Source organism: Homo sapiens, chromosome 3 (genome assembly GCF_000001405.40).
Source record: "Homo sapiens chromosome 3, GRCh38.p14 Primary Assembly".
NCBI lineage: Eukaryota > Metazoa > Chordata > Mammalia > Primates > Hominidae > Homo > Homo sapiens.
Genome location: NC_000003.12, coordinates 175,367,855 through 175,380,736, shown reverse-complemented (window position 1 = coordinate 175,380,736; position 12,882 = coordinate 175,367,855). Strand labels below are relative to the sequence as shown.

Sequence of the window (12,882 nt, the reverse complement as noted above, 5' to 3'; positions counted from 1 at the left end):
TGCAGTTTCTCAAAACATAAAAAGCTTTATTTAAAATTCTACAGTATATTACTAAATATATGATTTCTGCATTTCTGCCTATCTAGAAAAAAGGGATTGTTTTCTAAAATACAGCATGGTATGGGCTTACCTATGAAAAAGTTTGTATTATTTTCTTTATTTTCATAAGGATACTTAATTGAGAGCTTGAAAGGATGTTGTAGGTATTTTATACAGAAATTTCAGCAATAATTTTGACTTTATTTTTGTCTGTAATTCTTTGCGGAAAAAAATGGAAAAATGAGACCTAAATGGTAAAATTTATGTATTATTGAATGCTGACACTGAAAAGTGTCAAGCTGGAGAAATGCATTTGTTGCTATATTTCTCACATTGTGGATAGAGAGAAAAATACATATAACAAACACACAGACATTCTTTCAAAATGCACATTCTAGGGCAACCTTGTGGGGTAGATGGTAAGAATGATGGTGGAGGAAGAAAAGGGGACATGGATGTCAGTATTTTTTTAATTAATTTATTTTTTTAATTATTATTATTATACTTTAAGTTTTAGGATACATGTGCACAACATGCAGGTTTGTTACATATGCATACATGTGCCATGTTGGTGTGCTGCACCCATTAACTCGTCATTTAGCATTAGGTATATCTCCTAATGCTATCTCTCCCCTCTGCCCACACCCCACAACAGTCCCTGGTGTGTGATGTTCCCCTTCCTGTGTCCATGTGTTCTCATTGTTCAATTCCCACCTATGAGTGAGAACATGCAGTGTTTGGTTTTTTGTCCTTGTGATAGTTTGCTGAGAATGATGTCAGTATTTTAATATGCTTCTCTGAGTAAACATACACAACCTTCCACCAATCCCTCTGTGGCATTCTACAAAATTTAATTCTTGGTACTCTTTAATCAGAAATTTGGATGGGAAATATAAAGCTATCTGGATCACAGCCTTGATAATAAGCCATATTCAATCAGACAAACCTTTGAGGAATATTTACAAAAATGAGGGAATTAAGATGTGGACTGTGGGCCAGGTGTGGTGGCTCACACCTGTAATCTCAGCACTTTAGAAGGCCGAGGCAGAGGCAAGAGAATCGCTTGAACCCAGGAGGCAGACGTTGCAGTGAGCCAAGACTGTACCACTGCACTCCAGTCTGGGTGACAGAGTGAGACTCCATCTTAAAAAAAGGAAAAAAAAAAAACAAAAAGATGTGGATTGTGGACAACTGTTACCAGAAACCATACGAGACGTAAAAACAGACTAAGTCAAAATGTGAAGTCCTGCATTTGTAAGTGCCTAAAGCTTTCCACCCAGAAACACTTTCCAGTTGTGTTGAGCTGAAAAGACAGGTAGATAAGAAGTGAGAATATGGATAGTTTGTAGTTTGGGTCAGAATTAATAATAATAGTTTTAACTGTATGTAGCAGATGCTGTCCTATGTGCTTTGCATATATTTTAACTCCTTTATTTTTCACAACATGCCTATGAGCTAACTGAAAATAATGAAAGAAGACTATTCTACAGGAAAAAAAAAAAAAAAGAGAGAGGAAGAAACAGGTTAAGTAACTTGCCCAAGGATGCAATCTCTTAACCAGTGGGTCCAAAATTTGGGGACAGGCAATCTGTCCACAAAATTCACACTTAATCACAAAGAGTCATGGAGCTTACTTTTGTACTCAGCACCCATGGGCCTATTCTCCAGTGGTAGAAACAAGCTGGGCACTTGAAAATATGCAACCAATAAAAATCTTGGAGTGTTAGGTAAGAGCCAAATAATGTGGACATGTTGAAAAGGTGGATTTCAACCTACAAGTTACAAATTACTAAGACTAACTGTGATGTCCTGCATTTATAAGTGCCTAAAGTTTATCTACTCTTAGCCATGATGAACTAACAGGTGCAGGATTATCTCTCCCAGTGTAAACAATTAGAAACCGGGACACTATTGTTTTCAGACAGTAACATGTTTTGAATCCTGAAATGAGGCAACAAGGTGAGTCTTATGATTGTCCAAGTTTTCCACCCAGAAACACTTTCCAGTTGTGTTGAGCTAAAAAGACAATATCAGAGTTTGAAAAGGCTATGACTGCTGGTATTTGCAGGACAGGGTACAAGGAAGTGGGAGCTTCACATAGAAAGTACTCCAGAAATTTGCATAAGGGTGCCCTTGAGACTTCAGATGCAATCTAAGCTGTGCATGCACTGAGTGAGACTCAACAAGGCCAAGTGAACAATCACTATCAAGGAACACAAAGTGAAAGACTACTGAGGTTCACGACTAAATGAACCACCATGCAATACAAAGCACAACATAATGAAGCAGGATATTTACTTGACCCCTTTGCAGGACCTGCGAAGAGGGTGCCTAGTTTACTCAGCCCACAGCTCTCAACTCCCTGCAGGAGGGAGTGTGTGAGTGAATGAGGCGGGAACTGGAGTGCAGGAGCAGAGGTGAACTCCATTAACTCCCACCTGCTTTGCTCCACCCCTTGTGGGAGTGAGCGCACAGGTAAGCAGGTGCAGGAGCCAGGGTGAGTGCTTTTGGGTGTCGGCAAGAGCAAACTCTGTGTAGGCCCCATGGCAGTGTCTGGACTTGGGGGTGCCTGTGACCCCTGAAGCCCCAGAGGGAGTGTTACAGTGCTCCTTTAGCTCTGCCATCTGTGGACGGCTTAAGTGTTAACAGCTCAGAGGGCCCTCTTTTATCTGCACTCATGGATCCCAAGCTCTTGCCCAGCATCCAGAAGAATGAGGTCACAGGAATGATTTGAATGATGGTAAATGCAGGGGGCGGGGTTTATTGCCAATGAAAGTGGCTCTCAGTAGGAAGAGGAGCTGAAAAGGGGATGGGGTGGGAAGGTAATCTTCCCCTGAAGTCCGGAAGTCTCCAGCTGGATTCTTCTCTGAAGTTACACCATCAAGCTGTCCCTCTGAAGTCAAGCTGCTTCTTTCTAATGTCCAGACATAGTCTCTGATGTCCAGCTGCTCCTTGTCTGTCAGCTGATTCTGGGGCTTTTATAGACACAGGATGGGGTGCAGTACAGGCCATGGGTGGTTTAGGAAAAGGACACATTTCAGCAGGAAAACAGGGATATAAGTTCTCACTGTGGGCCATGGTCACAGGTTTTTATGCTTGAGAGTGGGGCTTTGCCAGGGACTGGCCCCTGTCTGCCTAGAATTTCTCTGCCCCCGTCCCCATCAATAACATTAAAGGAATGAGACAAAATCTGTATGTGCAGCCATGTAACATTCACAAAGTTCAGTATCTAAGCAAAAATAGTAGAGATGTGAAGAAGCAAAAACAAGTAACAATCCTAAGAAAAAAGTAAGAACAACAATTAAAAAAAACTGATAATATCAGAGATGATGAATTAACCCCAAACTATTATAAACAAATTTGATGATTTTTTTGTTTTTGTTTTTGAAACAGAGTGTCACTCTGTCACCCAGGCTGGAGTTCAGTGGCACGATCTTAGCTCACTGCATCCTCTGCCTCCTGGGTTCATTCGATTCTCGAGCCTTAGCCTCCCAAGTAGCTGGGATTACAGGTGTGCACCACCGGCCCAACTAATTTTTGTATTATTAGTAGAGATGGGGTTTTACCATGTTGGCCAGGGAGGGTTTGAACTCCTGGCCTCAAGCAATCTGCCTGCTTGGGTCTCCCAAAGTACTGGAATTACAGGTGTGAGCCACTGCATCTGGCCTAAATTCAATAATTTTTTTTTTTTAAAAGAAGGCCAGGTAAGCAAATAAATACAAACTATTAACAATATCAAATGAACCTCCTAAAATCAAAAAAGCAGAATACCCGAAATGAAAAATTTACTGGGAGGGATTAACAGTAGATTAGAAACTGCAGAAGAGTTCAGTAAATGTAAAGTCATAGTAACAGAAACAACCCCAGCTGAAGCATGGTAAAATAAAAAGAAAGGCTGATATAAAAGAGCAAAGCCTCAGTAAACTGTGGGATAATAGCAAGCTATCCAATATATGTAAACTTAGTACCAGACTTTCAAATGGGGGAAGGAGAAAAATATTTGAGTATAAAAATGGCTAGAAAAAATACCCAACTCTGATGAAACATAACAGTCCACAAACCCCAAAAGTGTAAAGAACATGAAGTTAGATAAACACACAGAACACCAAGCTATATCATAACCAAATGGCTTAAGGTCAATAATAAATAAAAACTCTTAAAAGCTCCCTGAATAAAACAGTTGCTTTCCACATACAGGAAAACAAAGATAGAGACAAATTACCAGAAACAATGTAATCCACAAGTCTATAGAACAACATCATTAAAGCAATGAAAGAAAAAATAAGGAAAAAGGCCTTCTATATTATAAATATCCTTTAAAATTGAAGTAAATATCCTTTAAAATGAAATTCAAGTAAAAATTGAAGTAAAATAAAACAATTTTTAGCAGAAAAAAAGAATTAGTCACTGATACCACAAGACATGTTAAAATAAGTTCTTTAGGGTGAAGAAAAAGGTTACCAGATGGAAATTCAGAGATACGAAAAGAAATGAAGAAATTGATAACTAGGAGGGTATAAAAATACTTTTTTTCTTTCAGTTTCTTTAAAAGATAGTTGGCTGTATAAAATGAGAATAATAACAATATATAATCTGGTCTATAGCAATTGCTGAATTAAGCATTCTAAAATGCAACAAAATATGGGAGAGAAAAATGAAAGTATACAGTCATGAAGTTTTTACATTATATATGAAATAGAAAAACAACTTATTTGTAGACTGAAATAATTTTAAAATGCATATTGTAAACCACAGAGCAACCACTGAGGGTAGGGCAGAAAAAGGATGCATAGCTAAAATGTCAATAGAGGAGGTAAAATGAACACTAAAATATAATACTCAATTAACAAATAATACAAAGGAAGGAAAAGAAAACAAAGAACAAATGGGAAAAATAGAAAATAGGAATACGGTAAATGTGAGGCAAACATATTAATATTTAGGTTAAATGTCAATGAGAACAACATACAAATTAATTGTCAAAGTAGATAAAGCAGCGGAATTCACTATATATTATCTACACAAAACTCCCTTCAATATAAAGACAGATTGGTTAAAAGGATGGAAAAGGCTAGAGTGACTGTACTAATATCAGACAAAGCTTCAAGATAAGAAATACTAATAGAGATTTAAACTGGACATTTTAGAATAATAAAGAGTTCAATTATCAAGAATATATAACAAACTTAAATAGGTACACACATAATAATAGAGCTCCAAATCACAATGCTGAAAAACAAATTAAAGAATACCTAAATAAATTAGGAGATTTTTCAGGTTGATAAGTTGGCAGACACAACACTGCTAATGCTGTATTTCAGTCATCTCCAAATAGCTCTGTACATTCAACACAATCCCAGTAAAAATTCTAATGGGCTATGTTATAGATATTGACACGTTTATTTTAAAATTTATATTGAAATTCAAGGAGCATTTAAGAACTAACATTATTTTGAAAGAGAAAAAAATTAAGAATACTAGCACTTTTTAAAAAAATGTCAAGACTAACTACAAAACTAGTGTGATCAATTTGGTTATATTGCTATAAGAATAAACAAACAGCTCACTGGAACAGAATAGAGAGTCCAGTAGTAGACTGAACCTTATATGAGCAATTGATTTCAACAATAGTGCCAAGGTAAATCAATAAGAAAAGTAAGATTTTTTCAGTAAATACTGTTGGCTAACTTTCTAACTATATGGGAAAAAATGTATTTTCAAGCACACCTTACACAAATGTGCATTCTAAAGGTAAAAGGTAAAACTACACAACTTGACTTATTTATTTATTTATTTATTTATTTATTTATTTATTTATTTATTTGCGACAGGGTCTCATTGTGTCACCCAGGCTGGAGTGCAGTAGTGTCATTACAGCTCACTGCAGCTTCTCCCTCCCCAGGCTCAGGTAATCCTCCCACCCCAGACTCCTGAATAGCTGGCATTGCAGGCATGCACCACCATGCCCAGCTGATTTTTCCATTTTCTGCAGAGATGAGTTTTCTCCATGTTGCCCAGGCTGGTCTCAAACTCCTGGGCTCAAGTGATCCACCTGCCTCAGCCTCCCAAAGTGCTGGGATTACAGCCACCACACCTGGCCTATATAACTTTCTTTTTTTTTTTTTTTTTTTTTTTTTTTTTTTTCTGGAGATGCAGTGGTACTCAGCACTCTGTCAACCAGACTGGAATGATCTCAGTTCACTGCAACCTCTGCCTCCTAGGTTCAAGCAATTCTTCTACCTCAGCCTCCTGAGTAGCTGGGATTACAAGCACCCGCCACCAAGCCCAGCTAATTTTTGTATTTTTAGAAGAGACAAGGTCTCACCATGTGGGCCAAGCTGGTCTTGAACTCCTGATCTCAAATGACCCTCCCACCTCGGCCTCCCAAAGTGCTGAGATTGCAAGAATGAGCCACCGTGCCCAGCCAAGCATATAAAACTTTTAAAAGAAAAAATAAGAAAACGTATTTATGATAGGGAAAGGAGAAGGATTTGTAAGCCACAATATTAAAAATATGAGCAATAAAATAAAAATAAATAAATTTATCTTTTATCGAAACTCTAAACTGGTTTTTAAAAAGTAATTATAAAGAAAATGAAATTCAGGCCACTAATTGGTAGAAAATATATGCAATATGTATATCTGACAAATGGCTTGCATCTGAAATATATAAAAAAATTCAATAGTAAGAAAAAGTATGTACACATATATACAGAGAAATATGCATAGACAGATTCTTCCATAAAAAGATATACTAAGTCCATCAGCATAAAAAACATGCTCAAAATCATTTGTTATCAGAGAAATGAAAATTAAAACTATAATCAGAGTCAAATACACACATATTAGATTGTTAAAATAAAGACTGACAATATGCGTGTTTCAAGGATGTAGAGCAAGGAGACTCTCATATACTACTGGTGGGAGTGTAATACAGTACCACCACTTTAGAAAATAGATTTGCATGTTCTTATAAAGTTAAAATACACTTACTATGTGACCTAGCAATTTCACTCCTGCATATTTGCTAACAGAAAAGAAAATCTATGTTTACAAAAAGGCTTGTACGTGAACATTCATATTACCTTGATTCATAATAGCTTCAAACTGGAAACAGTCCAAATGACAATTAGCAAAAGAATGGATTAGCAAACTGATATGAGCATAAAATAGAATATACTCAGCAATAATCACGAACAAATTAATGATAAACACAACATGGATGAATTTTAAAAACATGCTGAGCAAAAAATGCCAGGCATATTACTACAGGACATATTACTACATATGTCCATAGATAAGAAGTTCTAGAATAGACAAAATAAATCTTTATTAATGCAAATTAGATCAGCGGTTAGACTAGATTAGGTGGCAGTGGATTGACAGAAAAGGAACATAAGATAAATTTTTGGTGTTAAAAACGTTCCTTGTATCTTGTTTGTGGTCATGATTATACAACTGTTTACACTGGCCAAACTCAACAAATTTTACATTTAATTGGGTGCTTTTTTTTATATTTAAGTTACTTCTCAATATGTTTCACAAAAAATTAATATGGAACAGGGAAATCTGAGCTTCAATTCATTCCATGTAAAACAATTTCATATGGCTTTGATTGGTTGCATGTTCAATTGCAGCCAAGTAGTTACCAAAATTATTCCTCATTCTGAGGCTGCCTGAACAAAAACACACTAAGTACAGATCAGGAGACAGTATGACCACTGTCTGGCCACAAACGTAATACTATGTCCTGTTCTTTCTAACATATTTTAAGAAAGCACTTCACTTTGGGAAGATGATGATGCTCATAATGAGAGATGGCAAAAAGAATGCTCAAGGTAACTGGAATTGCTTTTAGCCAGAGAAAGGGAAAACTTAGTTGGGATCTTACAGCCATCCTAAAATACTGCAAGGTTAGTGTGGCAGAAACTGCTGGATACTACCCCAATTTTTCCTTACTTCTTCATTAATAGAATTACAATTCTATTGAGTATGGCAACGTGCCCAGGTATAAAATGTATTTCATCAAATCCCATTTTAGTTAAGGCCAATGAGGCATATGTTGGTCAGGACTTTAAGAACAGACCCTTTAAAAGATCAGTTAGCCTTAGTGGGCATGTGCCTTTCTTCTTTCTCCAAGTGGAATATTACAATGATGACTATAGCTTCAGCCTTTATCAGCAACCATGAGGAAAAGACAGAGAGCTTGGGTCTAATATCTTCAAGACACTGAATTAACACCAACGCTTCATTCGATTTCTCATTTTGTGAGAAAAATATTTAGAGAAGTATTTGGAGAAGTCCACTGTTAATGAGTTTTCTGTTACATGAAGGAAAACACGAAACTCTAACTGATACTAGGTAGATATAGAGAATGCACAGACATGCATGTTTTCGCTCCAGAAGGCAGAGCGTGAGCAAGCTAAATATAGCTAGGTATTAGGTCAGTATGATGAAAAATGTAATGATGGAGCTTTACAAAAACTGAATGGGCTAGCTAAAAACATAGCGACTCCTGTACTAGCAGTTCAGTAAAGTCTGCAGGGCAACACGCCAGCTACACTAAATGAGGTCTGCCTAGGAAGCAGTGGAAAAAAAATTTTGTGAACTCCTAAGGGTTATTCCTTTAAACTCTAAGATGCTATGGCTGGACTTTTTTTAGAGTAATTATATTTGTCTATTTCATGTTATGGTAGGAATTTGCCCTAAGGAAGTAGAACTAGTTTAGCTCAGAATGGCAATATTTCTTCTAAAACTTATTAGGAAACTAGAAGGAACGCTTTGTGGATGTAGTTTTCCTAAAGGTCATGCAGAACTTCCAGGTATTACAGATTTTGAAAGATGAATAATAGCCATTTTAGTGGTTATCTTTTTTTTTTTTTAATAGATGGAGTTGTCCAGGCTGGAGGGCAGTGGCATGATCTTGGCTTACTGCAACCTCCGCCTCCTGGGTTCAAGTGATTCTCCTGCTTCAGCCTCCTGAGTAGCTGGGATTACAGGCCCCTGCACCACACCCAGCTAATTTTTGTATTTTTAGTAGAGACGGGATTTCGCCATCTTGGCCAGGCTACTCTTGATCTCCTGACCTCAGGTGATCCACCCGCCTTGGCCTCCCAAAGAGCTGGGATTACAAGCATGAGCCGTCGTGCCCAGCTCATATCATTCTCAAAGGACTTTTGTAGCACACAGAATGGTTTCTAAATAATATTATCCATATCTTGACTAACACGGTGAAACCCCATCTCTACTAAAAATCCAAAAAATTAGCCGGGCGCGGTGGCGGGCGCCTGTAATCCCAGCTACTCAGGAGGCTGAGGCAGGAGAACGGCGAGAACCCGGGGGGCGGAGCTTGCAGTGAGCCGAGATAGCGCCACTGCAGTCCGGCCTGGGCGAAAGAGCGAGTACTCCGTCTCAAAAAATAATAATAATAATAATATCATCCATAATATTAGTTGATAGTCTCTTCATAATTCTAAATCCAGCATTTTTCAAAGCATTACCAATGAAGGAGAACTTTTAAGATGAAGCTAAATATAAAAAAAAAGTGAATTACTGCAAATTACTATACATAGTATAATTTGAAATTTTGGTAATATTGTCTAAGACAAATCATCCTTTTGGGATAGTTTTTTTCCATACTGTTCAAACTACCCTTCATCCTATAACGGCAGACATGGCCTAATGATTCTCATTTTTAATCAACAGTGTTGTCAGACATTTCAATGATTCTGAACATAATGTTATGACATTCAGGGCCAGAGAGCAAGCATTCTCTACTTGCTCTCAGCTGAAAGCAAAGAGGTTCTCAAGAGCTGCCAGCCTTTCTCCTTTATGCTCTGAAAGCCTCCTAAACTTGTCAGTTTACTTCCATTACCCTTTTATTGAAAACAATGAAAGAAAAAAAGTTACTACGGTGTTTATACTTTTAAAGTGAATGTCTTTTGTAATAAGGTAGAAATATCACAGAACCATCGAATGTTGGAATCAGAAGCATGTTTGGCATATCATCAAGTACAATAGCCACATCCTGCCTATGTGGAAAGCTGGAGGGGCTAAAGGACCTCTCAAAGCTACACATGTAGAGTCAGCAGCAGAGCAGAGCTTAAAGCAGCAAGTGACTCTTACGGCCATCAGTAATCACACTCTTGCTTAACATGCAAATGAATAAAGCTATTTTTATAAAATCCCTCCCCCCCCCATATATTGGCAGTAACTCTAAATTCTAGTCATTTTTTAACCATTACAGAATAAGATTAGAAGCATCAGTAGTTAATGGTGATAATAATTTCCATTTTATATGGGGTTTTATGGTTCACAAATATATTTTATAAAATAAGTTTCTAACATTTCATTTTCTTATATTGAGGGCTTTTAAAAGAAATAACCAAAACCTATTTTATTAAAATTTGATATTTAAAATTATAGTTGAGAATAGTGGAAGATTTTTCCCATTATCTTTGCTCTCCTGGATAGCAACCAGATAAATGACTTCCCAGAGAAATGCATAGAGTCATATAAGATAAAACGTCTTTTTTTCTCCATTTTACTCAGAGTTTGATGATGAACTATGACTGGATATTGAAATAATCATTCTTTTATCCTTTGTAGTAAGGCTTACTTTGTCCAGTGGCAACATGATCAGACAAGCAGCTCTCAGATGACATGTGACAATATTAAATTCAATCTTAGCAAGCAGCTTCTCAATTTCACACTTGTGGTAGCTGGATTAACCCAATTATTTTTTGGAGGTTAAGGGAAACTTTCACATTTGCAGAATACCATCCTTCAGAAACCGGAATGTAGGATTTTGTTATCTCAAAGAATTTTATGGAGATGGAAAGATCAGTTAGTATTAAATTTTAGCACACAATCAGATGAAGGGTTTAGGAAGAAGTAGATATGATTACCTAATAATTCACTTTGAGTTCTTCACTTTGAGCCTCAAAAATGTGTGAAACTTGGGACTTTTACTAAGCATATCTTTCAGGCAAAATATTTTCATTGTACCAGTTCCAAGCTCTTGGTTCTAACACAAAACCCCTGCTACACATACACACACATGCACTCACACACACACAGGCTACCTATATATACACCTGCTATGTGTGTGGATATGTATTTACACATACACATATCAGGTGTATACATACGTAGCATGTATATATACACATACACACACACGCACACAGGCACACACATACTTGTTACCTATATATGTATACATGCACATATCAGGTGTATGTAAATGTAACATGTATATGTACACACACGCACACAGGCACACACATACTTGTTACCTATATATGTATACATGCACATATCAGGTGTATGTAAATGTAACATGTATATGTACACACACGCACACAGGCACACACATACTTGTTACATATATAATTACACATGCACATATCAGGTGTATGTAAATGTAACATTTATATATACACACGCGCACACAGGCACACACATACTTGCTACATATATATACAGTCAGGTGCTGCATGATGACATTTTGCTCAAGAACAAATCACATACATGAGGGTGGTTCCATAGATTATAGTGGAGCTGAAAAACTCTAGTGGCATTGTTCTCATTGTGACATTAGTGCAATTACTTAATTTTTAAAACAAATTTAGTGTAACCTAAGTGTACAGTGTTTATAAAGCCTACAGTAATGCATAGTAACGTCTTAGGCCTTCACATTTGCTCACTGCTCATTCACAGATCCACCCAGAGCAACTTCTACTCCCACAAGTTCCATGAAAAGTGCCCTATACAGGGGTGGCAATTTTTTTTAATCTTTTATATCATATTTCGCTGTACCTTTTCTGTGTTTAGATATGTTTAGATATACAAATACCACTGCATTGTAATTGCCTACAGTGTTCAGTACAATAACATGCTATGCAGGTTTGTAGCTTAGAAGTAATAAGCTATACGACATAACCTAGTTGTTTAGGAGGCTACACAATGTGTTTGTGTTATGTGCACTCTATGATGTTCTCTCAACAATGAAGTCACCTAATGATGCATTTCTCAGAAAGCATCTCCATTATTAAATGGCACATGAACGTATTTGCTACATATATACATACTGGCTATAAACACACACACACACACACACACACTCACACACACCTGCTACAGTCCTTTCAAAGTATAAAAAAAGATACCAAAATGTGTTAGAGATTCGTTTGTAAAATGTAACTATTTTCGGACCAGATGGATTCACAGCCGAATTCTACCAGAGGTACAAGGAGGAACTGGTACCATTCCTTCTGAAACTATTCCAATCAATAGAAAAAGAGGGAAACCTCCCTAACTCATTTTATGAGGCCAGCATCATCCTGATACCAAAGCCAGGCAGAGACACAACCAAAAAAGAGAATTTTAGACCAATATCCTTGATGAACATTGATGCAAAAATCCTCAATAAAATACTGGCAACCCGAATCCAGCAGCACATCAAAAAGCTTATCCACCATGATCAAGTGGGCTTCATCCCTGGGATGCAAGGCTGGTTCAATATACGCAAATCAATAAATGTAATCCAGCGTATAAACAGAACCAAAGACAAAAACCACATGATTATCTCAATAGATGCAGAAAAGGCCTTTGACAAAATTCAACAACGCTTCATGCTAAAAACTCTCAATAAATTAGGTATTGATGGGATGTATCTCAAAATAATAAGAGCTATCTATGACAAACCCACAGCCAATATCATAATGAATGGGCAAAAACTGGAAGCATTCCCTTTGAAAACTGGCACAAGACAGGGATGCCCTCTCTCACCTCTCCTATTCAACATAGTGTTGGAAGTTCTGGCCAGGGCAATCAGGCAGG

General features: G+C 37.1%; 1 protein-coding gene and 1 non-coding gene across 24 annotated transcripts in view; both read right to left on the bottom strand.

Moving 5' to 3' along the window:
• NAALADL2 (N-acetylated alpha-linked acidic dipeptidase like 2) overlaps nt 1–12,882 on the bottom strand; it is a 1,369,567-nt gene that overhangs the window by 429,812 nt on the left and 926,873 nt on the right. The gene's annotated exons all lie outside the window — the stretch shown is intronic.
• On the bottom strand, nt 11,116–11,197 carry MIR4789 (microRNA 4789). Its single transcript, NR_039952.1, has one exon. It is a non-coding gene; the product is annotated as a microRNA 4789 (primary transcript).